Genomic DNA, 27,996 nt, shown 5'->3' with positions numbered 1-27,996 from the left:
TAATAATCTGAATAAGTCCTATAGTCTGGTTACAGTCATAATGCAAAAATAATGATTAAATGCTTTATTTTTTCAGTTCTATGGTGATTTAAATACTAAAGAAAACATTTTAAAAACCTCAAACACATTATAAGCAGTAATTTATGTTCAAATATTTAATGCACAAATTTTAAGTATCCTTGTCTATTCACCAAAGCAGATGTGGAAAGTTGATTCGTCTCATTTGAATTACATTACATATTTGAATATTTATAAAACTTCCTTTGATTTATTTAACAATATTCTTGTAATCAGGGCTTTTCCTTCACTGCTTTCCTCTTCTTGCCATTCATGATAATCAGTGAGGTTTCGATCACCAATGACCCCCCATTTCCTACCACATAAACCTTCCAAAGGAGGCGTGGTTTCCTAGCTTCAAATTGGGCAAGTTGTAACAGCGTCATTGCATCGAGGTTCCCCAGCATGATTACCCTTGAAATGACCTCGTTAGCTTCAATCGTGAGGGGAAAACTTGGCAAACAATAATAATTCGATGGGCCATTTCCCATCAAAACCCTGACACATCTGGTAATCATTTCTTGTCCTGAATCATTTATTCAATTTAGGTTGAAAAAGATTGTCACAAATTTCGCTTCTGTGGTAAACAAAACAAAGCAAACAAACATTTGCACATTCATTCCCAGCTTTAGTGAATTCCCTACTATGAGGGTGGCAAATTCTATATAAAGTTCACTTGCTGAGAACGCTATGTGTTGTAAGCACATTGGAGTTTTTAATTCTCAACATTGCTTTATCTACCATTTATCCCATGCCATACTGTTTTCTGGGTACCAGTTCTACTCACCTCGCCCCATGGCTTAGGACCAGAGGAGCAAGTTGTGTGTGGAATGGAAAGCATGTCGTCTTAGCCACAGTGGAAGGACTGTGTGTGGCCTTGGGAATATTCACCTCACTTCTCTGGGCTTCAGTTTCCCCATCTTTGACATGTGAGAGTTGGATATGCACCATCTTTTTGATGACTGTCAGCTCCAAGAGTACCTGCTTCTACAGTGTGAAGCAAGGAGAGGTCAGATTGGAAAGATGATGGAGGCTGGGGCAGGTAGTTGCAGGAGAACTTTGAATGCAAGACTGAAGAGTTTAGATTTTCCATGATAGGCAGAGGTATCAATTTAGGTTCCTGAGGGGCAGGCGGAAGTGATGACAATGGTGTGAGAGTTAGATAAATCTGACAAGTGTGTAAGATGCACTAGAGTGGATTTAGGGATGTCACACATATACTGTAATAGCAAAGTCAAGGCAAACATCCCCTCATTAGTTTTACCACCCAGAAGGGAAAAGATTCCACTCCAGTCTTCTTGAAGAGATACTTAAATAAGAAATTGTAATCTAAGAGGAAAATACAGGGTAGAGAGCTTAACTTTTTTTGTCTACCAGTAGTCATCTCACCCACATCCTCTACACAAGTACGGGCCTTTAGAGTTTTCAAACAATTTTCACAGGTGCTGCCTCATTTCATCCCCCTCAAGAATCAAATATTTTCCAACAACAGAAACAGTCCTAATCCAGGGCCAAGAAGCAGCAGACCACAGACTCTTTTAGGCCACCTGGTCACATTAGCATTTCTTTATGGAATGGTTTACTGATGGCTACTTAGAGCAGGTACTCTTGGGGAGTGGCCATGAGTAATGAAGCATGGAAGTCCACTGCCTCTGGAGCCACATGAATGGCAAGTGGATCTCTGGCCTCCTAGACATCCCCATGAGTGTACATTGACTCAGTTATATACAACCTCTTGGGAAGTGAGAGTGCCTCCCACAGCCAAGTGCTTTACAGGGCAGCTATCTTCTCATTTGAAGGTAGACTAGGCATATGTCACATGAGAGCTCTCATAGGCAAAGAAATAGGTTGAAAATGACCTGACAATTCCACTTTATAGGTGTGGCTACCTTAAGTGCTTTGCCTTAACACTTAAGACTTAAACTGGCCGAGCGTGGTGGCTCACGCCTGTAATCCCAGCACTTTGAGAGGCCGAGGCGGGTGGATCATGAGGTCAGGAGTTCAAGATCAGCCCGACCAGTATGGTGAAACCCCGTCTCTACTAAAAATACAAAAATTAGCTGGGTGCGGTGGCACGTGCCTGTAGTCGCAGCTCCTCGGGAGGCTGAGGCAGGAGAATCACTTGAACCCAGGAAGCAGAGGTTGCGGTGAGCCGAGATTGCGCCACTGCACTCCAGCCTGTGCGACAGAGCGAGACTCTGTCTCAAAAAAAAAAAAAAAGACTTAAACTTCCTCCCCAAGGATTTGCCTAGACCAAGGTGGTTTCCAATTTTCCAGATCATTAAATAGCAAAATGCCCATTTCCTATTATTTTATTTTCAGGTAGCCTTCAGCAAGTTCCTCGTCAACAGTCTGTAAGGCCATGTCTAATATAGGCTACCTTCCCTCTTCTGGGTGATAGGAGGCTCTTTTGCCATCACAATGGAATTTGATTTTTTTTTTTTTTTTTGAGATGAAATTTCATTCTTGTTGCCCAGACTGGAGTGCAATGGCATGATCTCGGCTCACTGTAAGTTCTGTCTCCCAGGTTCAAGCGATTCTCCTGCCTCAGCCTCCTGAGTAGCTGTGGTTACAGGCATGAGCCACCACACTAGGCTAATTTTTGTATTTTTAGTAGAGACAGGGTTTCACCATGTAGACCAGGCTAGTCTCAAACCCCTGATCCACCCACCTCAGCCTCCCAAACTGCTGGGATTACAGGCATGAGCCACCGCGTCCAGCCTTGATTTTTATTTTTTTTGGCAAATCATCATTTGGCTGTCACATAGTATGTATCCTCTTCCTAAAGCAACACAATCCTAGTTTTGGCAGGGAATAAGTTGTTTTTTAAGGGAGCATGATGAAGCTTCTTTCATAAGTAATCATTTGGATGCCAATAGACTATAGCCTCAACACTAAAGTTCAAGGTAAGGGTCCAGTCTCTCTTTTAAATGGGAACCTGGCAGAAGCACTGAGGTTTGTCCCCAGATTCACTGGGTCTTTGGGCACTTTCCAGAGGGGAAAAAATGTATTAGATTGCTTGTAAGGCTTTAGCCAGTCTCTAAAATTTGCAACTTTTGACTCATTCCCTTTGGAGATAAGTTTTGCTGTATCTTTGACAAAATCCTATAGATTACCATTAACCCTGCAGATGTACAAAATATCAGCATGGATTATTTCAATTTGGTTTGTCTTGCTCTGTGGCCCAGGGTGGAGTACAGTGGCATGATCTTGGCTCACTGCAACCTCCGCCTCCGGGGTTCAAGCAATTCTCCTGCCTCCTGAGTAGCTGAGACTACAGGCATGTACCACTGCACCTGGCTAATTTTTCTATTTTTTAGTAAAGGCAGGGTTTTACTATGTTGGCCAGGCTGGTCTCGAACTCCTGACCTCAAGTGATCTGCTGGCCTTGGCCTCCCAAAGTGCTAGGATTACAGGCATGAGCCACCACTGGCTTGTACTTTCTCTGTGAGGAAGATTCCAAACTACTGCTTAATGTTCCATTCTATTAGCAAGTAATGCAAATCTTAATTTAGATAGAAGACAGCCACTTCTTGGCTTCCAGAGTGATTGTCATACTGGCCTCAAGTTACTCCTTCAAGACATTATGGGGAAGGGGGTCAGGACAATTTCTGTTTTGTGTTCAAGAGAAATATTTAGTATCCCCATACCTTCTGAGTGTACTGTTACCTACCTCTAATTCCTGATTTCCTTAGCTTAAGTATTCTATCTATTCAAAGTTGCCCTGCAATGTGACTTTACCTTCATAATTCTGACTCTATATAGTTGTAGAGGCCTCTAAAGTCTTAATAATGAATCTAATATTCTTTGCAGTCTTTTAAAAAATTGATATAATGGTCTACTGTCTCCCTTCTTTGACCTTTCTACTATTTCCACAACTTCACAGTCCTTAAAAGTGAGAGAGTCAAAGTCTACATTCTGTTATCTAATTCCACTTTGTTTCTCATCTGCCTTGTCCATCCTTATAAAGTTAGTGATCAATCCCATGTGAGATTGTTCTCTTGATACATAGCTCCAGATTTCCTTCTTGGCACTGGTCTGCACCCTCTCCTGCTTTGGGGATGGAACATAAATATCCTACTGGAATCTGTTAACAAAGTAGGCCTATAGTGGCCTGGGGTAGCAGTAGTTTTCATTTGTCCAGTGTGCTGTTGCAGCCCTTCATCTTAAAAAATTTTTTTTGTAATGGAACTTCTCTTTCTTGTGGGGACAGTTTCTTCAAGGGTGGGTATATGGGATGGATCTGGCCAGTAGAGTATTCCATTCCTCACTTCAGCTATGCCCTGAACTCTTATGTATGTACACATGCCCTCATTTTCTTGGTATTCATCATATGTTGCCTTGGGCCAGTAATAATTCATCCATCCATTCACTCAACAAATATTTGTTGAGGACCTTCAAAATACCTAGCCTATATCTTTTTTCTTCCAAAACAGATTCAAAATTCTTCAGGACACTGATAATGTCTTGTTTCTTTTTAAAAAATTCACTCTCGGGCCTGGCGTGGTGGCTCACGCCTGTAATCCCAGCACTTTGGGAGGCTCAGGTGGGTGGATCACCAGAGATTGGGAGTTTGAGACCAGTCCGACCAACATGGAGAAGCCCCGTCTCTACTAAAAATACAAAATTAGCCGGGCATGGTGGCACACACCTGTAATCCCAGCTACTCAGGAGGCTGAGGCAGGAGAATCACTTGAACCCGGGAGGCGGAGGTTGCGGTGAGCCAAGATCATGCCATTGCACTCCAGCCTGGGCAACAAGAGCAAAACTCCATCTCAATAAATAAATACATAAATACATAAATACATAAATTCACTCTCATTGAGTACAATACTTTGCACATAATAGGTATTTAGTAAGTGCTCACTAATTAAATTCCAACTGCAATCATACTTCTAATCTGGTAGGACCCTATATATACATCTTTCCTTTTAAAAAATCTTGTATCCATATATTAAATGCTATGAACATTGTTCTGTATTCCAAGAGTATCAGTGTCCAAGGCATCTATTTATTTTAATGCAATTATTAAACAACAATTGCTATAACATATAAAGGAGTAAACAGTTAAATGAGAAAAAGAAGGACCATGGGAAAAAATCACATTATAAATTACTCTCATTTTATGTGACTTCTCTTGCCTGCTCAGAGCATACCTTCATGCCTTTTCTTTAATATTATCCCAAGAACATAGTGGAATGTCATGTACCTGTGGCTGCTCAATACTTTTTCATCAATGTGGTAAAGTTGAGCTAGAAAAGGTATAGTTTTCTGTGCTTCCATTTTTTTTATTTTTTTATTTTTTAGAGAGGTCTCTCTGTGTCACCCAGGCTGGAGTGCAGTGGCCCAATCACAGCTCACTGCAGCCTTGACCTCCTAGGCTCAAGTGATCCTCCTGCCTCAGTCTCTGAAGTAGTTGGGGTTACAGGTGTCCATCATCACACTTGGCTATTTTTTTTGAGAGAGAGGGTCTCACTATGTTGCCCAGGCTGGTCTCGAACTCTTTTTCTCAAGTGATCTGCCTACCTTGGCCTCCTAAAGTGCTGGAATTACAGGAGTGAGCCACTGTACCCAGCTGTTGCCTCCATTTTTTAACCTGTAAAATGGGAGAAGTATTACCTGTTTTGCCCACCTTATAGGTTTTGATGCACAACTACTACTATAATGTTCATTATAAACTATTAAGCTCTGTATAAAAAGTAGAACCCGAGTTTCCGCTTAGGCAAATGTATTAGTCCATTTTAACGCTGCTGATAAAGACATACCTTAGACTGGGAAGAAAAAGAGATTTAATTGGACTTACAGTTCTACATGGCTGGGGAGGCCTCAGAATCATGGCAGGAGGTGAAAGGCACTTCTTACATGGTGGCAGCAAGAGAAAATGAGGAAGAAGCAAATGTGGAAACCCCAGATAAACCCATCAGATCTTGTGAGACTTACTCACTACCAGAATAGCAAGGGAAAGACTGGCCCCCCATGATTCAATTACATCCCACCGAGTCCCTCCCATGACAGATGGGAATTATGGGAGCTACAATTCAAGATGAGATTTGGGTGGGACACAGCCAAACCTCACTTGATGCAAGTTTGGCTGTGTCCCCATCCAAATCACTTGCTGATATGGTTTGGCCGTGTCCCCACCCACATCTCAACTCGAATTGTAGCTCCCAGAATTCCCACATGTAGTGGGAGGGACCTGGGGGGAGGTAATTGAATCATGGGGGCAGGTTTTTCCCATGCTGTTCTTGTGATAGTGAATAAGTCTCATGAGATGTGATGGTTTTATAAAGAGGAGTTCCCTTGCACATGCCCTCTTGCCTGCAGCCATGTAAGATGTCCTCTTCCTTTGCCCTCCACAGTGATTGTGAGGCCTCCCCAGCCATGTGGAACTGTGAGTCCATTAAACCTTTTTCCTTTACAAATTACCCAGTCTCGAGTATATCGTTATTAGCAGCATGAAAAGGAACTACTACAGCAAGGTTCAGGTTCTTAAAATAGCATTTTAAGTGGAAATTACATACTTTCAAAATTACCCTTTACAAGACCTTAAATATCAATAAATTTAGTCAGGCCAGTTTTTCCTCCAGTATTGGAATGTATCACTCTTTCTTTGGTTGAGCACCAGATGAAGAATTGTATTTGACTTGCATATATGGGTTGTGTTGTTAAAAAAAAAAAAGCCCTGAACTGTTTTTAAAAACTACCAATACTTTCATTTTCGTGAAATGGTAACACAAATAAGAACCTTGCGGAAATGGGGACCACCAAGTGAGGAAACAGCAGATGGACCTCCCATTCTCATATTCTATATGAGCTATTGATTACATTAACTCTATATGAGCTATCTGATTACATTAATAATGAACTAATTAGGAATAGTTTCGCAATCCGTATTTCATTGGCTCCTGTCTTTGCTTGCTGATGCCGAACTTCAGCTCCTTGCAAAATCCTCTGCCCATAATTTCTAAGAGCCCCTACACAGTGTTTTACATGGGCTCAAGAATAAGGCATATCTGCGGCCACGTGGATATCTGCTGCTGAGTTTTCTTGAACACTTCTAGTACTCATCAGTGAGCCAGCCCCATTAAGCCAGGTCATTACCATGTGCTGCTGGACATCTTCATGACCTCCGTTGTGGCCCTCAAAGAATCAAAATGCTTGTTTCCTGGAATCTCCAATACTGCAAAATCGTGCCATCATTTTCTGCACAAGTGGCAACAAGCTGTAACCCCTCATCTTTTGATTATGTTGTGTGATGTAGTAATGATTTTAGTGCACTCCTATTTCTGCTCTTGGTACTTTCCTAGTGGACTCCACGAGGCTGTATTGGAATATGAATCTTCAAGATAGGTAAGGTGTCATTCCCTCAATCCAAGGATTAACAGCTGGCATGGCATGGGCACTGACCAACTGGAACACTGGCTGGTGCACTGTAGCTGTGCAAATTGACTGAAAAGCAGTCTGGCCAACCCCCACCTCTCTGTCATCCACACTTCTTGGCAGTCTTTCCACCAAAACCCTTATGTAAATCACCTCTTGGCAGCCTGAAACTACCAATTTGCCAGATATGCCATGACATGTTTGAAGCCTGGTGGTGAACGGAGACTTGCCCCAAGCTGTGATTCTATTTGAATGCATCTAATTAAGAAATTTTGATACTCAAATTATATTGTAGAACCGATAATAGGAAAAAAATTAATGTAAGAAAAAATTCAGAAAACTAAAAAATTAATAAAACAACTTTTTTGGGGGGAGTATTTTCTCAGAGTGCTTGTCCATATGCAGATATTTTATAAAGTTGTAATTTTGATGGTTATAATTGTTTCGCTTTTTCAATTACAATCACACTACTCATTTTGCCAACATTTACTGAGTTCCCACGATGTGCACAGCATTGACTGAGATCAAGAGAAATGCCTTACACCTCCATGTAATTCTATTTATACTGGAAGAAAGTTAGATAATGAAGGCAAAGCATGTGCGTGTCCTCATTTGGCAACTCCCTGTTGATGAATTCTTTTTTTCCCACTAGATGGTTTCTCTGGTGCTTAGAAGTACTTCACTTTAACTCCTCTCATGCCAGATTAAAAGCTTAACCTCCATAGGATAGTTTGCTTCCTCAGAGTTCCAGCTGATATGGCTGTGTAAGATATTTGTTTTTAATTCTAAAAGGGTCCAAGAGCCTTTGGCCTTGGAAATATTTTTAAAATGCAGTTGAATAAACCAGTTAGGTTTTAAAGCATATACAGCAGTTTTCTCAATTTGTTGCAAGCAAATGTTTCCCACCATATGTGGCACAGACCTGGGCACACAGTAGACAACAAGCACTTCCTGGTGGAATTAGGATATTCGTGTCTTTTCATGTGTTGTCCAACACAGGCCAGCAAAATTTATGAAATTCTATATAATCATATTTAAAGTCCTTAAGGATAAAAAGTACAATTGGAACACTTTTGATAAGAAGACTAAAAATGAAAACTGTATTCAAATTGTCAAGAAGTGGTTAGAGAAAGTAGAAGTGTACTCAACTGTCTCGGACATGTTGAGTCCTCAAAAAAAAAAAAAAAAAAAAAAAAAAGAAAAAAAACCAGACTGGGTATAGTGGCTCACACCTGTAATCCCAGCACTCTGGGGGCCAAGGTGGGAGGATTGCTTGAGGCCAGGAGTTCAAGACCAGTCTGGACAACGTAGGAAGACCTCTGCCTTTACAAAAATAAAAAAATTAGCTAGGTCAGTTGTGTGCCTGTAAGTCCCAGCTACTTGGGAGGCTAAGGCGGGAGGATTGCTTTATCCCTGGAGGTAGGCTGCAGTGAGCCATGATCACACATCTGCACTCCAGCCTGGGTGACAGAGCAACAAATTATCTAAACAATAACAACAACAATAAAAACAAACAAACAGAAAAGAAAAAACAATCAGAGTTGATATTTTCCTAAGACTCCTAACTGGTCCTAAGAGTAGCAAGATTTAGTTAGGGGAATAATGGTTATTTTTCCTAAATTACTACTTTTATCTTCAAGTACTGAACACTACTAGTGCATACACAATATACATTGTAAAAATAAAGAACAACAGCACCAGCCTGGACAACATGGCAAGACCCTGTCTCTACAAAGTAATTAAAATAGCTGGGTGTGGTGGCATGCACTTGTAGCCCCAGCTACTGCGGGGGAAGGGGGCAGTGGCAGGGCATGGCTGAGGCAGGAGGGTTGACCTGAGCCCAGGAGTTTGAGGTTGCAGTGAGCTATGATCACACCACTGCACTCCAGCCTGGGCAGCAGAGCGAGACCCCATCTCTAAAAATAAAAATAAAAAAATAAGACAGCAGAGATAGTAAAACATCTTAAAACTGAGCTATAAACTCTCATAAGGATCCTTTCTGGTTTCATATCTGGCACTTCATACTACTGTCTGATCTAGATGTTACAGAGAAACACATTCCTTGAGGCTTTGTACATTCCTTCCCATTTTCTTTCAAGATTCCATCCTACAGGGCACAGGAATGAAGCATCCTGATACAATTCAAATAAAGTTTTGGCCTGATTAAGGGAGACCAGTCCTCTCTGCATTCTGAAATTCCTTTTTGGATGATCCATAGGAGGTCTTACTTTTTTTTCACTTCCCTGCACCCCTGGCCAAGGATATTCAATATCCAAGAAACCAAATACCAATTTTCTTGTAGCTTTCACATTTCCCATCAACATGACATAGATTAAAGACCAAAAGACTTCTGTTCCATTCTGAGAGATGTGAGTCCCATTTCCATGTGAAGGAAATCTGACCGTTCCCGATTTACAGCTACTGAGGGCCTAAAATATTTGTTCTGAGAATTTCTCAGGCCTATATTTATTACATTTTAATGCACATAAAACAAAGCTGAATTCCTAGAATTTGCTGTAAAGAAGTATACTTCAAGTATTCAATCAACACATACTGTTTTCAATTCATTTATTCAATGTGAAAATATTTACACTCTTGTATAAAAAAGCTCTTTTCAAAAAATGTGAATGGAAATGAGGTAAAATAAATAAAATTGAAGTAGTTCAAAATAATCTAATCGGTAATAATATAGTAAACCACATGATTATACCCTTAGAAGTAAACATGTGACAAGCATGAAAAACTAAAAGGATTTGTTAGAGGCATGTGAACCAGAGCAACTCCATCTTAAACAGGAGCCGGGCAAAATGAGGGTGAAATCTATTGGGCTGCATTCCCAGATGGTCAGTTAAGGCATTCTAAGTCACAGGATGAGATAGGAGGTCAGCACAAAATACAGGTCTTAAAGACCTTGCTGATAAAACAGGTTGCAGTAAAGGAGCTGGCCAAAACCCACCAAAACCAAAATGGCGACGAGAGTGACCTCTGGTCGTCCTCACTGCTACACTCCCACCAGTGCCATGACAGTTTACAAATGTGCCATGACAGTTTAGACCCTATGTGGTCCAAAAAGGGGAGGCATGATTAATCCACTCCTTGGTTAGCATATCATCAAGAAACGACCATAAAGAATGGGCAACCAGGCCAGGTGCGGTGGCTTATGCCTGTAATCCCAGTACTTTGGGAGGCCAAGGCGGGCAGATCAACTGAGGTCGGAAGTTCAAGACCAACCTGACCAACATGGAGAAACCCTCACTCTACTAAAAACACAAAATTAGCCGGGCGTGGTGGCGCATGCCTGTAATCTCAGCTACTCGGGAGGCTGAGGCAGAATTGCTTGAACCTGGGAGGTGGAGGTTGTGGTGAGCCGAGATCACGCCATTGCACTCCAGCCTGGGCAACAAGAACGAAAACTCCATCTCAAAGGAAAAAAAAAAAAGGGCAACCAGCAGCCCTCAGGGCTGCTCTATGTAGTAGCCATTCTGTTATTCCTTCATTTTCTTAATACTTGCTTTGACTTTTGCACTGTGGGGTCACCCTGAATTCTTTCTTGTGTGAGATCCAAGAACCCTCTCCTGGGGTCTGGATCATGACCCGTTTCCTGTAACAGATTCAAGTGTTTTTCTTTTATTTTCTATAGTATACTCCTTTAAGATGTCAAAATCAGAGTATTTATATAATTTGCCAAAGGCTTGATATGCAACTTTTCATACAACCAGTCTATTTCACAGTGACAGTGTTTCAAACACTCTCCCTCTTCTTTTTGGGTAGTCATTCATTAATTTCCCATTTGGGCACACCTCACTGGTTATAAGACACATAACCAACTATGCCACATCTTGTTACTCTGGGCATATTTTCAGCAACAGGAAAAACCACAGTGTATGTTACTTCAGAGGCTTTCCTATAATGGTAATGTCTTACATCTGCTAAAGTACCTCTCCACTGTCTACAGGACAAAGCCCAGTTTTTTTTTTTTTTTTTTCCTGTAACAAAGCTCCCTCAAACCTACCTTTTCAACCTTATCTTCCATTAGTCTTCTCTATCAGCTTTTTGTTCCAGCCAAACTGGTTTTCCCAAAGTCAGAAGAACAGAGTCACACTGTCCTTAATTGCTGTTACAGCTCCACCCACATGCAGGTTTACTAAAGAGAGGTTTTATCTGATGGGTTGAAATTGAAGTGATGGAAAGTAATTTACCTCCCCTCTTCTTTCTTCATCTTCAAATCCTACTACTCCTCCTTTAAGATCACTTTAGATTGAAGTGTCCTCCACTCACCTATTATAAATAGGAATGCATGGGCAATTTATTTTAAACTTTGTAGTAACAACCATATTAACAAATTATAGGCCAGGCATGGTGACTCACGCCAGTAATCCTAGCGTTTTGAGAAGCCATGGCACGCAGATTTTGAGCCCAGGAGTTTGAGACCAGTCTGGGCAACATGGCGAAACCCCATTTATACAAAAAATACAAAAATTAGCTGGGTGTGGTGGTGCACCCTTGTAGTCCTAGCTACTTGGGGGGCTGAGGCAGCAGGATCCCTTGAACCTGGGAGGTTGAGGCCGCAGCACTCCAGCCTGGAGGACAAAGTGAGACCCTGTCTCAAAAAAATAAATAAAAACCAAATTATGTTCTGTCTCATAACTTTTATCAATTCAAAATGTGATTTTTATAATTTATTTAACTTTTCATGTAGTTGCTTCCCTAGAGGGTAAACTCCCAAAGGACACTGATCCTCTCATCCACCTTATATCAGATGCCTAGCAGGTGTCTCAAATATAATACTTACTCACTATTGTCTAGTTTTACTATTTTAACTTATATGACAAAGGATTATCATAAAAATTTTCGTTGGAAAGCTTTGCTGAGAAATGTGAATTTTTTTTAAGAATTCCATTGTAATTAGAGGCTTCTGAGGGACATGTGAATCATAGTGAAGAAATAATATAAATGTTATTTTTTGGGCCAATTCCCCTTAAAATCAAACACAGAGGTGGGGTACAGTGGCTTACACCTGTAATCCCAGCTACTTAGGAGGCTGAGGTGGGAGGACTGCTTGAGCCCAGAAGTTCAAGGCCATAGTGAGCTATGACTGTGCTACTGCACTCCATCCTGGATAACAGTGAGATTAAAAGATAAATAAAAGTAAAAAAATAGAAATTTATTATAAAAATACTAAGCAAAGACATTTAAATATTTTCATTTATATTTAAATATGTTATTGACGAGTTATTCTAATTTGTCTTCCTTTCCAATCTTGATCCAAATGTACTTATATTTTACAGATTGGAAATATGGTAGATATACAACCTGAAGTTCTATATTTTTCAATTAGTATTGTTTCCTAAACATATTTCTGAGTTACTTTTGGTGGTTGTATTTATTTTTACTGGCTGCCTAATATGGAGTTAATACAGCATAGTTTACTTTACTCCTCTATTATCCTGTGATATTTTCCTTTATTTTCTCTTGGCCCACATCTTAGACATTACATAATTTCAAACTATCTCAAGGTCTCCAAATACCTTGTTAAACATTTCAGCCATTGCATAACCTTTTCTCTTTGCCTGGAATGTTCTTTCCTTCCTTATCCATCTGTACAACTGTACAACTATTCTTTGTCTAAACTAGTGGTTCATAAACTTTTTTTTTTTTTTTTTTTTTGAGACGGAGTTTTGCTCTTGTTGCCTTGGCTGGAGTGCAATGGTGCGATCTCAGCTCACTGCAACCTCCACCTCCTGGGTTCAAGCAATTATCCTGCCTCAGCCTCCCAAGTAACTGGTATTATAGACGCCCGCCACCACGCCCAGCTAAGTTTTAAAGTTTTAGTAGAGACGGGGTTTCACCATGATGACCAGGCTAGTCTTGAACTCCTAACCTCAGGCGATCCACCTGCCTCGGCCTCCCAAATTGCTGGGATTACAGTCATAAGCCACCACTCCTGGCTTGTCCATAAACTCTTGATCTTGAGCTAACATGATATGCACATTATAAGATACACACAGAAATAAAAAAAGGATTAAAGGTGCACTATTTTAAAGATAAATTTCAACCGGCCCGGTGTGGTGGCTTACGCCTGTAATCCTGACACTCTGTGAGGCTGAGGCAGGCAGATCACCTGAGGTCGGGAGTTCGAGACCAGCCTGACCAACATGAAGAAACCCCGTCTCTACTAAAAATACAAAAGTAGCTGGCATGGTGGCACATGCCTGTGATCCCAACTACTTGGGAGGCTGAGGCAGGAGAATCACTTGAATCGGGGAGGCGGAGGTTGCGGTGAGCCGAGATCGCGCCACTGCACTCCAGCCTGGGCAACAAGAGTGAAACTCCGTCTCAAAAATAAATAAATAAATAAAGATACATTTCAATTATTTAAGGTCCCAAACCATTTTGTTTTCACCCTCCTACTGCTATCGGGCCCCTAACAATTATTAACACTTTTTCCAATGCCTCATTGGCCAAGGGATGTTTTTAGGTTGGCCTGCAGGGTTTGAAAATTTGGTTACCAACATTTAAAAATGCAGAGATTTCACACAAAAATCCAATTTTGGGGTTTCTTTTGGGAGGAAAAAAATTGAACATCTGAGAACACTGGACCCACATTCCTGAGGGCAACAATCTGCTAGAGTTGAGCAGCTGTTCCTTTTAGTTATGGCATGGATATTCCAATTTGCCATTTTCCCTATCATTCCCCATTGTCTTACACAAGGCCAGTCTCACTCATTTGCTTTACTTGTCTGGCCTCTGTAGCCATTTGAATCTGCAAACACTATCTAGACCTTTCCTGTCTTCCATCAAAGCTTACTTTGTTCTGTCCCAAGTCCTTCATCAGTGTTTCAAAGCAAGAGCCAGGTAATCTGATCAAATATAGGTCCTTTAACATGTGCTTTCTGGAGACAGCATCTTAACAGAAAGAGATGACTCTGCAGGTAGAAATTACAGGCACCACTGGATTACAATCAGGATGGCAACTGTCTGTTCTACTTTCTCTGTTATCTTGACGTAGCCATACCTCACTGTTCTAAAGCAGACCAAAGGAACTGGTTCTATGGTAGAACAATGGACGCTGGTCTTATGTATGAAATCTTCTCAAGCTGCACTTTTATAGATCACCCTAGTTCCAAAAGATCCAAAGCTACCACGGGCTCCTCTGACCCCCCCATTTCCTCGGAGGCTTCAGGATATCCGGCCTGACGGCATTTCCCCTCACCTGCTTTCGGGGCCCGTTTTGCGCTGGGCAGTTGCGCCCAAGGAGCGCGCGCATCCAGCATGAGCTCATTTCTCATGGGCGTTTCCAGAGGCCCGGCCGGGCCGCGCACACCAAGCGCAGCAAGCCTCTGTATCAATGGCCCCCGCGGCTGGGCGGGGCGCGGCCGCCCAAAGGCGCTGCCTTTCTGGAAGCTTTGTTCCCATTTTAGCGTCTGAGAGCTTGCAGCCGGCTGGGAAGGCCCCCTTGGTCCGTCTGGCCCTTTCGGGGAAGAGGCCAACACTCGGCACACGCGATCCACGGCAGAGGGGAGCCTTGGGCGCGCAGAATTGGCTGCGCCCCGCCGAGAGCCTCCTGTGGGTGGGGAGAGCCCCTCCACCCCTCTGCTCGCTTGAGCGCTCAGAGCCCAGGGCCGCCGACCGCAGCACTTTCCGATTTGCTGCACCGAGGGCCCGCGGTCCCTGTGTGCGGTTTCCACCGTTGTTGGAGGCGGCCGCAGGCGAACCGTCGGGTCGTCAGCCACGACCCGAGTCAGGCATCTCCCCGCTCCTGGGACCGGGGCCGAAGGCCAATCACACTGCAGCTAGGTCTTGCGATTGGACGGCAGTGAGAGCCGATTGGCCGCCGCCGCGAGTTTCGGGCTCCCTCCCTCTCCCTTTTGCCCCAACTCCAGCGCCTAAGCTTCAGGCCAATGAGACAGCGCTTTATAGACGCCCTCCCTTCGCTTTCTTCTCCCCACCTTGGAGAGGGAGGGGAAGTCCTGACTGGCCAGACTGTCCTCGGAAGCCCCCTTCTCTTCACCAATCACCGAAGGAGGTACGCTCCCAGCGGAGTTTTCCAGCCAATCACAAAGCGGCGGCGGCGCCCAGCCGTGCAGTTTCACCAGCGTCTCTGGGTTTCACCGTCCTCAACTCTTCAAGCCTCTTCGTAAGGGCCGGCGACTCTGATTGGCCACTGTTGCCATTGTCGAATGTCTCCTCCAGCCAGCCACCGAACAAGGCGAATTCACCCTTTCCGTTCGGCTACCTTCGGCATTTTCCGCTCTTTGGGCGTGGCTTCCCAGCGTCACTTTCTAATTGGTTTCTCAGGCTGATCGGCTTTTTCCGGGAGGAGCCGCAAACAAACGACGTCCGTGATTGGCTCCGTTCGGGCTTCGGCTCCCAGCCGAAGCGGGCGAGCGTGGGGCTCGGCCGGCGATTCCCAGACGCCTGTTACGCGGGCGGCGGGGCGCTGGGCGGTGTAAGGCTGGGTGGGGGAGGAAGGAGGTGGAGGACGAGTAGGAGGGGGGAGGAGGAGTGGGGAAGTGCAAGGCGGCTGCGCAGACAGCGCTCCTCACACAGAGCAGCTCCTGACCCGGGCGAATGCGGGCTTGTGCCGCCGCCGCCGCCGCCGCCGCCCGGGCCAAGTGACAAAGGAAGGAAGGAAGCGAGGAGGAGCCGGCCCCGCAGCCGCTGACAGGGCTCTGGGCTGGGGCAAAGCGCGGACACTTCCTGAGCGGGCACCGAGCAGAGCCGAGGGGCGGGAGGGCGGCCGAGCTGTTGCCGCGGACGGGGGAGGGGGCCCCGAGGGACGGAAGCGGTTGCCGGGTTCCCATGTCCCCGGCGAATGGGGAACAGTCGAGGAGCCGCTGCCTGGGGTCTGAAGGGAGCTGCCTCCGCCACCGCCATGGCCGCTGGATCCAGCCGCCGCCTGCAGCTGCTCCTGGCGCAATGAGGAGAGGAGCCGCCGCCACCGCCACCGCCCGCCTCTGACTGACTCGCGACTCCGCCGCCCTCTAGTTCGCCGGGCCCCTGCCGTCAGCCCGCCGGATCCCGCGGCTTGCCGGAGCTGCAGCGTTTCCCGTCGCATCTCCGAGCCACCCCCTCCCTCCCTCTCCCTCCCTCCTACCCATCCCCCTTTCTCTTCAAGCGTGAGACTCGTGATCCTTCCGCCGCTTCCCTTCTTCATTGACTCGGAAAAAAAATCCCCGAGGAAAATATAATATTCGAAGTACTCATTTTCAATCAAGTATTTGCCCCCGTTTCACGTGATACATATTTTTTTAGGATTTGCCCTCTCTTTTCTCTCCTCCCAGGAAAGGGAGGGGAAAGAATTGTATTTTTTCCCAAGTCCTAAATCATCTATATGTTAAATATCCGTGCCGATCTGTCTTGAAGGAGAAATATATCGCTTGTTTTGTTTTTTATAGTATACAAAAGGAGTGAAAAGCCAAGAGGACGAAGTCTTTTTCTTTTTCTTCTGTGGGAGAACTTAATGCTGCATTTATCGTTAACCTAACACCCCAACATAAAGACAAAAGGAAGAAAAGGAGGAAGGAAGGAAAAGGTGATTCGCGAAGAGAGTGATCATGTCAGGGCGGCCCAGAACCACCTCCTTTGCGGAGAGCTGCAAGCCGGTGCAGCAGCCTTCAGCTTTTGGCAGCATGAAAGTTAGCAGTGAGTATTGGTTTTATTTTACACCCCTTTTCCACCTCGCCCTTAAAATAAGAAACCTCGAAATACCAGGATCTGAAATTATTAGACCTCCTGATAAACAGGCAATGGAAAAGGGCAAAACCTATCTTCAGTCAAGGATGAAGCAGCTCCCTTTTTACTCCTCCCATACCCCCTCCCCCGGTCTCATTAACCTTGAATTGAGATAATATGATATTTATTTGGATGATTCGATTTCAAACTGCTTTCTTGTACTTTTCTTGCTGTTGGTAGTCAGTTTCATCAAGTGCTCGAGTGTTTCCACGTTAAAGTAGTGATGACAGTGTTTACTTGCCCATCCTTTAGAATAAAGAGAAGGACAAGATTTGATTACTAAACCATTATGCACATTTGCAGAATTTTTGGAATTTGGAATGAGAGAATATTTTAGGTCTCAGGGGTTATCATAGTTTGATATACTTAATAGAGACGTTAAATGTCCCACCCTCCCAACATTTTTTTCTTGTTTGTATGACTACACATAATATTTGTTCTTAATCTGTGGATGAACTTCCTCAGTAACCATTCACATTTGGAGGCTGCCATTGATTTCTCTCTTTAGAAGGGACTAGTGGGAGCCAATAAATACCTAGCAGCAGTAACATCTCTGTATGCATTTGTGTTCAATTGGATAAGTGGTTTGATGTGTTATCTCTTAACCTTCCTGTTTTGACATTACCAACCTGCCACCGTATAATTTATGTTTAATCAAAAGTTAACTTGGAAGTATTAATAGGTCCAAGTTTTGATTGAGATTTGTTTTGTCATAGTGCCAAATACTAAGTTAAATGTTGTCACTGGCTCATTACATTTAAGTTCAATTTTGGAGTGCTACTGCATTCATTACCTGTTAAATGTTCTGGCGGGTTCCTTAAAAAGGACGATTTAAAACACTCTAGCGTTAGTTTCCATCATATTTAGATAACTGTGGATTTAGTTAGAAGAATGTGGATTTAGTCCTTTCCATTTTGGCTTTTGCAGATGGCTATGGTCCTAGAAATAATAGGGATATTTGGGCTGTGTTCAGGGTTGTGGATAGACTACTCTTGTCCTGGGTTTGTGCTGAAAAGTATGCTCTTGAAGTGTTTAATATATACTAAGTATCTAATGTTCCAGTGTATCTCTATTTATGGAGAAGTTCATGTGGTATTTAATGATAGCTTGTTTAAACATACTTGCAGAATTTAACAAAAATATCTATATTGTTTCCTTATTGTGGGAAAGAGGGGCATCATGAGGGCAAAGACAAATTAATTTGTTGCCTAGAAGAACTGAGAGAACTAAAGAACTGAGATTTTAAGAACCCACACACACGCAAAACATGATGTTATGTGAAATTGATTATATTCTTAGGCAACATAAAATGATCACTTTTAGTTGAACTCAAGATTTCAATTCATGTTGGCTTTGGGAACTAGCCTGAAACAGGGTAGTCTAGGTAATAGCTGAATGGGAGATAATTTTTGAAAGTTAATTTTTTTTTTTTCTTGTGGCTTGCAAGTAGAGAATGCCCGGGTAGGTAAAGAGGAAAGCTGATTATGCATCTTTCAGGGAAGGGTCGTGCTTTCTAAGCACTTCATGGAGTGATTTGAAAAATATTTTAAAATTCCGGGGTAATTTTCAGCTATGATGATACAAATCTTATAATAGCTACTTAAGAGCCTCTTGTGGTACTGGAGTGTTTGTATGTTTTACATCTTGGTAATATAGTTTGAAAATCAGTCAGTCTATTTCAGCTAATTGATTTATTAGCTTTATTTCAGAGATCTGTAATGCTAGATTATAATGCTACATTTTGGGACTTTTCATTTTCTTTTCAGGATTTTCTTTGAAAATGACTCTTGAATTCTTGGTAATACAGATACTAACTAAGGATGGAGTAACTCTTGTAAAATATATAGATGAAAATGTTTAATTCCGATTACCATATAGGTCAATTTAGAATTTTAAAAGTTGGAGTTTAGTGTTAATTATGTGTTTTTGACAGCTTTGACTTTAAAAGCATTTAAAAGAAAGGGGAGTCTTTAAGCATTTGTTAGGATGCTAGCATTCTAAGGAACCCCTGTTGAAAACAGACATAAGAAATTGTAGTCCTTGCTCTCAAAAGCTTATCCTTTAGTTGTAGAGGGAGGCTATGGGGAAAAAAAAATTAAAACAATAGCGTGATGACTGCAAGATTGTAAAATACAAATTGAATCATTTGTTCAGAGTGGCAAAGAGTAAAGGGGTGAGACTGATGGTTGGGAGAGGAAAGACTTCCTGCGGACAAGGTGTATTAGGACTGATGTTAAAGGAGGTGGTAACTTGAACTGGTAGAAAAGCATGAAAGGTCTAGGTGGAAGGAGTGTACCAAGGAACAATGATGGTGAGTTTTGCATGAGAGACAATAATCAAGTTGACAAATCTGAATTAAAGGGGCCTAAATAAGAACATAAGAACAGATGGAATTTGAGAAATAAGAGAAAGTTAGCTGATGGAGGGCAGAGGGGTTCTGTACAAGTTTGATTGAGATTCAGAAGAGATCTGGATTTATTGTTGGTTGCTGAATAAGACGTAAGATGATTTTTGCAGTTGAATTAGTGAATTATAGTAGAGAGATGCTAGAGCCTTTTTAGGGAGCTAGTAGGGTATGTTGTGAATCATGAGGGAATAAAGTAAAATGTGAAAGTGGGGTGAAAGGAACAGGTTTGAGAGACAGTGTGAATGAAGAACTGGCAGAACTTCATACTGGACTGAAGTGGAATATTTGTGAAGGAGTCAAGAGTTAAAAATAAATTCTGATGTTACTGGCCTGGAAGACTTGACTGCTAAGTTATATTGTTAATTGTAATGGGAAAATTGAGAAAGTGCTGAGGTGAGAGGGTAGGTGAGTTCACTTTCTTAAAATTTAATATACAATAAGTTCCCTTGAAATTCAGACAGCAGTTAGTTACTGGCAATGATATTTGACTTCCTAGTCTATTAATTGCACAGTTTCTAATTTTTCTACACCTAAAGATGTTGGATTTATATTCGGGAGCAGTAAACTAAGGGCTTTTATTTAAATGCTTCTCATCAAAGTCCTAATTTTTTTTTTTTTTATATACAGCTTCAAAAGCCTCACACTTGAAACCTGGTTATAATAGTTTCATGATGGCTTATTTCAGATCAATGAAAATACTTTTGGGACTAAACTGTGACTGTAACATTTTAGATATGTAGCCATTAATCTTTGATATATGCTTAAAACTTGTTTTTTATAAATAATGATTATTACTATTATTTTAAATGCAAAATTTATCTAAGAATAAAGTATTGAGAGCCTTCACTTTGTGAAGACTCCAGAAGAAATTAAAAGTTGATTTTATAACAAGTATTTTTTGCCCTTTTTGTTGAGTTTAGGCATTAATCCCAAATTTAAATCAGTATATTTGAAATACTACTTTTTACTTGCTATAGTGAAACCAATGTTTCATTTTTGTTCACTTCCAAGTTTACATGTAATTAAATAAATGTTTATAAAGTTTTTCTTTAGAATCACATGATATTTTACTCCATAGGGAAAGTAAGGGACTGTTTGTGGCACTTTTGGTTAAAATATTAGTAATCCTTTTGGTATATACAATTGGAGAAAATTTAGCTAGTTGTTTAGGTTTAATACTTAAATATAAGATTTAGAAATATGAAAATAAGTCTGTATCACTTAAGTTGTTTCCTCATATAAAACTTTTTTAGATCAAAATTTCTATTAGCAAAGAGAGAATAATAGTAGCTGCATATTATTCTGCAGTATTACGTCGTATGGTGATTAAAGCCAAAGAGTAGGTAGCAACTTAGAGTTTCCGTATTCCCCTGGGAAGTTTAATCTCTTTATGACATCTAAAAATTAGGTTATTAGAGTTTAGTCCATTTCTTGATAATCCTGTGTTAATGTGGAAAAGAGTTCATGTGTGAGACTGAAAACCAGAACTTTATTTTCAGTCATTTCCCAACCCGACTTCCCCAGAGTTGTTAAAACGTTTAAGATATTTAAGAATTGCATGCTTTCTTGTTGCATGCACCTGTAGAATGCTAATTGTGAAGTGACAGTAAGTCACAGGCAAAAGGAAAAACTTCAAGGGAACCCAGTGATTCACAAATCACCTTATGGCTGATTGGGAACTGCATTTAGAAAATGAGGTGACATCTTCTCATTTCACTGGCAAAGTTCAGCTGAAAATCAGTACTTGCACGCTTTACTGTGTAGCCCTTATATTAGAATTGAGTTGCAGGTGTGAGATAATATTTTGGAGAAACAGCAAGGCTGGGAAAGTCAGAGATTTTATTCCAGCAGCAGAGTCTAAAGAGTGGGAGAGCTCTATTTGTGTGTGCACTTTATGCATAGAGAAGGCTGTGAAACATGCATATGTTGACCCTATTGTCACAGTTCCATACTTTTAAATAAGACCCATGAAGTTGAGACAGGGTTGGAGATGACAGACAGGATGTGAGATTGTGGTGCTTCTTGTGATGCTCCACCCTATAATGGAGAATGGAGGGGCAGAACGCTTGTGTGGGTGAGACAAGAGTGTGTGTTGGTACTAACAGGACCAACCGGGTTCCCCGGATATTGTTCTTCTAAGAACATAATCACCATAAGTAAATTAATTTGTTGGAATGTTTATCATTTTCTAGCTGATTTTTTGTGTGTGTGTGTGGGGTGGTGGTGGTGGAAGGGGAGTTTTCCCCGATTTCAAGAATAAAAGCATTTTCATTGTTCAGAAGAAGAGCATTTTCATTAAAGCGGAGGTTGCACTCTTGGCATTTTATCTTGAGTTATACAAATCATCCTTGGTTATACAAATCAAATTGCTTTTGAAATTTGTTGAGTGTAATGTATAAATGTATATTTATATAAAAACCTATGTGAATAGAACAGCAAGGAAAAACTGAGTAGAGTTAAAGAAGTTTGTTTTCCCTGAGATTTTCTGCCTTTAAATTTATATAAAAAAGGAATATTCCATTTTACGTTATTGAGTTTTCTATTTTTTTAAATGAGCTAATACTCAGTACATAATGGACATTTTTAGTAAATTATTCCAATATACTTGTGTCTGTAATGCATTTGATGTGGTATAAGATTTAGAAACACAATTTAGTTCGGCTGGCACGGTGGCTCACGCCTGTAATCCCAGCACTTTGGGAGGCCGAGGCGGGTGGATCACGAGGTCAGGAGATCAAGACCATCCTGGCCAACGTGGGGAAACCCCGTCTCTACTAAAAATACAAAAATTAGCGGGGGCGTGGTGGTGTGCGTCTGTAGTCCCAGCTACTCAGGAGGCTGAGGCAGGAGAATCGTTTGAACCCATGAGGCGGAGATTGCAGTGAGCTGAGATCGTGCCACTGCACTCCAGCCTGGGCGACAGAGAGAGACTCTGTCTCAAAAAAAAAACAAAACAAAAGACAATTTAGTCGATTTGGGTTCTTAGTTTATAATCCCCCTTACCATTTTTGCTTATATTTTGGGAAGAGAGGTCAACTTCCAAACAATGTGCAGGTTCCAATTTTATAAGTGATTAAATCTTATATTTTTTGTATTGAATAGTTTTCTTAGCATGTTTGGTTTGATCACTTGAAGTAATGATGTATTTGTCTTGAAACTAGTTTTGTCAAACCAACTTTTTATTTCCAGAGTACCATGGTTAACAACAGCACAAAGCCAAGTCCTTAACGTGTTCCCTTAATAACATGGTCTAAGGTTAATTTCTTGATTCTTATTTCAAATCAATTCAGTAATAAAAAGTACACTTTTTTTTTTTTTGAGATGGAGTCTCGCACTGTTTCCTGGGCTGGAGTGCCATGGCGTGATCTGGGCTTACTGCAACCTCTGCCACCCAGGTTCAAGCGATTTTCCTGCCTCAGCCTCCCAAGTAGTTGGGATTACAGGTGCCTGCCACCACACCTGGCTAATTTTTTGTATTTTTAGTAGAGACGGAGTTTCACTGTGTTGGCCAGGCTGGTCTCAAAATCCTGACCTTGTGATCTTCCCACCTCGGCCTCCCAAAGTGCTGGGATTACAGGCGTGAACCACCACATGTGGCCGAACTAAATTGTGTTTCTAATTTAGTTTTCCTGAAGAATAACAGCTATGCATCAATGTGGAATTGTGTTATTTGGAATCTCACCTTATTGGAATTGGCTGGTAATTGACAGTAAACCAGAAGTGCTCCTGAGCAGCTAATATCTGCAGACAAATGGAGTGTAAACTTTGCTCATAGGTTAGTTTTCAGGCTTTTATTAACGGTTCCTTGTTATTATTTAACATATAGTTGTAATTCATTGAGTTGTCTGGGTTTTTTTGAAATCACAGATCAGGGGAATGGATAGGTACTGATTAAGCATTATGCTACTGAAAAGAATGGATGATTAGGGGAAACAAGCATATTGGGATTACTTAGTGTATGTAGGGTATGTAGGTTCATATAGTTCCAGGGTAAATCATTCTGATAATTGTTGAAAATGTTCACCCAGAGAAATTTTTTTTTTTTTTTGGAGACAGGGTCTCGCTGTGTTGCCTATGCCTAGCCTGGAGTGCAGTGGCACAGTCTTGGCTCACTGCAGCCTCTGCCTCCTGGGCTCGGGTGATCTTTTAACCTCAACCTCTGGAGTAACTGGGACTATAGGCATGCGCCAACATGCCTGGCTAGTTTTTGTAGTTTTTATAGAGAGGGGGTTTCGCCATCTTGCCCAGGCTGGTCTTGAACTCCTGGAATCAAGCAATCCTGCCTCAGCCTCCCACAGTGCTGGGATTACAGTCATGAGCCACTGCACCCATCTGAGAATATTAATTCTCTTTTAAAGAGGCAGGAGGCAGAAAAATCTCTTGTGGAAACCTGGGCTTCTGCATAAACTACATAAAATATCTGTAATTTGTTGATCACTGAAGTGATGAAGAGAACTGGGTCACCTCTGTCTGATTCACCATCTTCTAGTTGGATTTCAGCAGTATGGATAAAGGTACTAAAGTCTTTAGTGTGCTAGCCCAGGGTATTGTTTCCAACTCTTTCTTCCATTGTCCATCTACATTTATTAACTCAGCAGCAGAGTTTTATCTGATTTAAGATTTGTTGTCTTACTATTTCTGTTTTTTTTTTTTTCCTCCTTAGTATATATGGAATTGCTGCTTGGATTTTGGCTGGCTTGTACCTTTTGTTTGTGGACTGCTTAGAAGGCACTGCATGGAGTCATTTAAGCTTTCTTATGAATTATGAATAGCTATGTAGAGAGGAACTTTTCTAGATACATTTATGGCCTATGAGAATTGAAAAGCTGGGTATCTTAATTGTTAGGCTGAAGAAAAAGGGTGATAGTGGCAAAGTAGTTTTTCTTTTGGAGGTCTGAGAAATTCTTAGGGGCTTAATTGGCTAATATAACTAGAAAGGTTGGGTGATTTAGGTTTTTTTCCAAGGAAAGGTATCTTATTTAAATGCAACACTGTCTGCTTCCTGTTATTTTATAAAATTAGTTAATACTTTTTTTTTTTTCTCAAGACGGAATGTCACTGTGTCGCCCAGGCTGGGGTGCAGTGGCACAATCTTGGCTCACTGCAACCGCCACCTCGAGGCCTGGTTCAAGGAATTCCCCTGCCTCAGCCTCCTGAGTAGCTGGGATTACAGGCATATGCCACCATTCCCCGCTAATTTTTTTGTATTTGTAGTAGAGATGGGGTTTCACCATGTTGGCCAGACTAGTCCTGAACTCCTGACCTCAGGCAATCTGCTGGCCTCAGCCTCGCAAAGTACAGCAAAATCAGTTAATATTTTTAATTGATTAACACTTTCTTCATGACCTGTGTTGAAGTTATTGAGTTGAGTCAATTGAATTTCTAATGCTAGATTTTGAGTATGTGGTGTGAGCACCTGAAGAGTTGGAGGTACTGGAATTATGTCTGACATCAGACTGATAGTATTTGCAGGGACATTTGCCCTAGTGGAATTCAGGGTTTTCACATTCTATACATTACTTAAATTATGAAGGAAAGGGGGAAGCTTTGAGTTGGTAGACTTTTAATAATAAGATATAATTACATGTATATAGAAGAGCAACGTACTGTATATCATATTCTCATAATATATGGTAATAACGGCAGTAATTATTGAGTGCGGTGTGCCAGATAATTGCATGTTTTATTTACCTATTTTGCTTTAAATTTTAAAAAATGTAATTTACTCACATGGTTCAAAATTTTAAAGATATTCAGTGAAGTCTTCTCTCCTGCTCTGCAACAACCAGTTCTCTTTCCTGGAGACCACTGGCATTACAATTTCTTATGTGTCCTTTCATAGGTATTCTGAATCTTTACGGATTAATGATTTCTATAGTAGACTTGCATTTTGTGTATACATACATAAATTAACAATAGCTTTAGCAGAAGTGTTAGAATTAAAACAAATTTAAATCAGTAACTCTAGAAAATTGCTATTTTTTAACCTATTAAATTAGTAAATACTTATTTCTCTAAATATAAGTTAGTTGGAGAATAAGTGCAAAGATGACAGAGCTCCTCTCGTGGCAATTAGAGGTAAAATGTTAATAGTCTTAACCAATGAACAATTAATAGCACATTTAAAATAGATGTTTATTTCATAATAAAAAGACAGGATAATTTTTTAACTTTCTATTTTTCTAACATCTTAGATGAGAAAACCTGTTCTCTTGAGAGATCAGAGGCGCAGAGTGCGTCAGTGTCAATGAAGCCTGTGCCTTTTACTTCTTTAAGAGCGTACGGTTTCATTCTGCTCCTAAATCAAGCACCCCTTAGTTGTTGAATAAAAATTACTTTTATAAAGGAATATATGATTTAAAGAAATCAAATAGTGCAGAAGGGCTTATGATGGAAAGTAATCTTCTGTCCTCCAGTCCTACTTCTTAGAAGCAACATTGGCTATGACAGCTGTTTCCTCTAGTAGTTTTTGTCATATTTTTAATTATATGCTTTTTATCTATTTCTTAAAATTAATTTTTTTGTCTTATTGTGGTAGACATCATTTATTGTCATGCCCATCTCCCTTTTGCTTTCATACTGATATAATTATGCCACTATTTAAAAACTATTATTTATTTAAATTATTATTCAAATTATTCTCAGTATGTAGACATGGAACAGTATTCTATGTAGAAACAAGTAGTATACAGTGATCACATTTCCTTATGAGAATAGCTTTATTGAGATATAATTCACATACCGTAACATTCATTTTTTCATTACTCAGGTGTTCATAGACTTGTGTAACCATCCCAACCATCTAATTTTAGAGCACTTTTATCATTTCAGAGATAAAGCTTATACCCATTAGCAGCCATTCCCTATGTTCCCCTTCCCCACAGCTCTAGGCAACCACTAATTTACTCTCTGTCTTTATAGATTTGCCTGTTCTGGACATTTCATATAAATGGATTTATGTAATACATGGCCATTTATGACTGTTTTCTTTCTCCCATGTTATAGCATGTATTAGTACTTCATTCCTTTTTATTGCTGAATAACATTTCATTGTATGGAAATCCTGCGATTTGTTTATTAGTTGATGGACATTTGGGTTGTTTCTGCTTTTTGACTAGTATGAATATGCTGCTGTGAACATTTGTGTGCAAGTTTTTGTGTGGACATATGTTTTCAGATCTTTTGGGGTATATACCTAAGTAGTGGAATGGCTGGGTGATATGGTAACTCTCTGTTTAAAGTGTTAAGGAGCTATTAAGCTGTTTCAAAGTGACAGTCACATTTTTTCCTTTGCTTTTAATCTTTTTAGACTTTATTGTTGCCATTTTCTTTCTTTTTTTTTAAATACTGTTTGTAATAATTATAATCTCAATTCTTCCCCCCAAATGTACCAATTTATCAGACATTCTCTGGATTTCTACCTGCCTCCTGCCCCTTTCTTTTCCTGGAGTGTCCTTTTTCCTGGAGCCCTCGTCCAACTGCTGGGATCTGATCTAGTTGTTCTCCAGGCCCCGTTGTACAGCTGTCATCCTCTGACTTCTTTCGCTGCTCTTCAGGGTTGGCTCTCCAGTTTCCTGGATCCCATATCTCTAAATAACATTTCATTGTATGGAAATCCCATGATTTGTTTGTTAGTTGAATAGTTCTTATCTGATAACTGTTTGATAAATATACCTGGAAAAGTTGTTCATTGTTTTTTTCCATATTTGTTCCAAAAGGGCAGTTAAGAAGCTATATACTTTTTGGGCAGATACCCTCACCCTTGCAGTATCTAGATACTGAGAAATAGATGTTGGAAGGTTACTTTGTATCATTTTATTAAGTGATTACCATGCAAACATAAGGCAAGTACAAAAATCTGAAAAATATTAATATTAAGTAATTGTTTAGACTAGAGCTATTCAGAAGAAATATTATATAAGCCAAAAAGGTGAATTATATATGTAATTTTAATTTTCTATGAACCACTTTGAAAAATAGACACAAGTGAAATTAATTCTAGTAATATATTTTATTTAACCTAGTGTATCTAAACTAATAATATATCAAGATGTAATCAATATAAAAATTATTGAGATATTTTACATTCTTTTTTTGGGTAGTAAATCTTTATAACCTAGTGAGTGTTTTACACTTAAAGAACATACTAATTTGGGGGCCGGGCGCGGTGGCTCATGCCTGTAATCCCAGCACATTGGGAGACCGAGGCGGGTGGATCACGAGGTCAGGAGTTCAAGACCAACCTGGCCAAGATGGTGAAACCCCGTCTCTACTAAAAATACGAAAATTAGCTGGGCGTGGTGGCAGACGCCTATAATCCCAGCTACTTGGGAGGCTGAGGCAGAGAATTGCTTGAACCTGGGAGGCAGAGGTTGCAGTGAGCCGAGATTGTGCCACTGCACTCCAGCCTGGGTGAC

At 41.0% G+C, this 27,996-nt stretch overlaps 1 protein-coding gene, 1 long non-coding RNA gene and 1 other non-coding gene across 14 annotated transcripts in view, besides 3 other annotated features; 2 read left to right on the top strand and 1 right to left on the bottom strand.

Moving 5' to 3' along the window:
- Positions 50 to 15,325, bottom strand: GSK3B-DT (GSK3B divergent transcript). 9 transcript variants are annotated; one of them, NR_186628.1, is made up of 3 exons: positions 14,651 to 15,325; positions 11,450 to 11,715; positions 50 to 2,255 (listed from the first exon to the last, which is right to left on the bottom strand). It is a non-coding gene; the product is annotated as a GSK3B divergent transcript (long non-coding RNA). The 9 variants fall into 9 exon arrangements; NR_186629.1 differs by lacking the exon at positions 11,450 to 11,715 and adding an exon at positions 5,584 to 5,653; NR_186630.1 differs by lacking the exon at positions 50 to 2,255 and adding an exon at positions 5,047 to 5,653 and having other exon boundaries at positions 11,637 to 11,715.
- Positions 14,874 to 15,193: an enhancer, noted in NCBI's record as "active region_20330". NCBI's record gives its function as "activates an Ori minimal core promoter by ATAC-STARR-seq in GM12878 lymphoblastoid cells {active_cell/tissue: GM12878}" and the evidence as "EXISTENCE:reporter gene assay evidence [ECO:0000049][PMID:35858748]".
- Positions 15,394 to 15,803: an enhancer, noted in NCBI's record as "active region_20329". NCBI's record gives its function as "activates an Ori minimal core promoter by ATAC-STARR-seq in GM12878 lymphoblastoid cells {active_cell/tissue: GM12878}" and the evidence as "EXISTENCE:reporter gene assay evidence [ECO:0000049][PMID:35858748]".
- Positions 15,473 to 15,767: an enhancer, noted in NCBI's record as "tiled region #13833; HepG2 Activating DNase unmatched - State 1:Tss, and K562 Activating DNase unmatched - State 1:Tss". NCBI's record gives its function as "activates a minimal TATA promoter and a strong SV40 promoter by Sharpr-MPRA in HepG2 and K562 cells {active_cell/tissue: HepG2 | K562}" and the evidence as "EXISTENCE:reporter gene assay evidence [ECO:0000049][PMID:27701403]".
- The window catches only part of GSK3B (glycogen synthase kinase 3 beta), a 273,127-nt gene continuing 261,112 nt past the window's right edge, over positions 15,982 to 27,996 (top strand). For all 4 annotated transcript variants that reach the window (NM_001354596.2, NM_001146156.2, XM_006713610.4 and 1 more), the window contains exon 1: positions 15,982 to 17,082. In NM_001354596.2, coding sequence (NP_001341525.1) covers positions 16,995 to 17,082 — 88 coding nt within the window. In that variant the 5' untranslated portion in view covers positions 15,982 to 16,994. The remainder of the gene's footprint in view (positions 17,083 to 27,996) is intronic.
- Positions 25,781 to 25,865, top strand: MIR6529 (microRNA 6529). The gene has a single exon (NR_162125.1). It is a non-coding gene; the product is annotated as a microRNA 6529 (primary transcript).

Source organism: Homo sapiens, chromosome 3 (genome assembly GCF_000001405.40).
Source record: "Homo sapiens chromosome 3, GRCh38.p14 Primary Assembly".
NCBI lineage: Eukaryota > Metazoa > Chordata > Mammalia > Primates > Hominidae > Homo > Homo sapiens.
The sequence above is the reverse complement of the archived record's forward strand: the minus strand, read 5'-3'. Positions and strand labels throughout refer to the sequence as shown.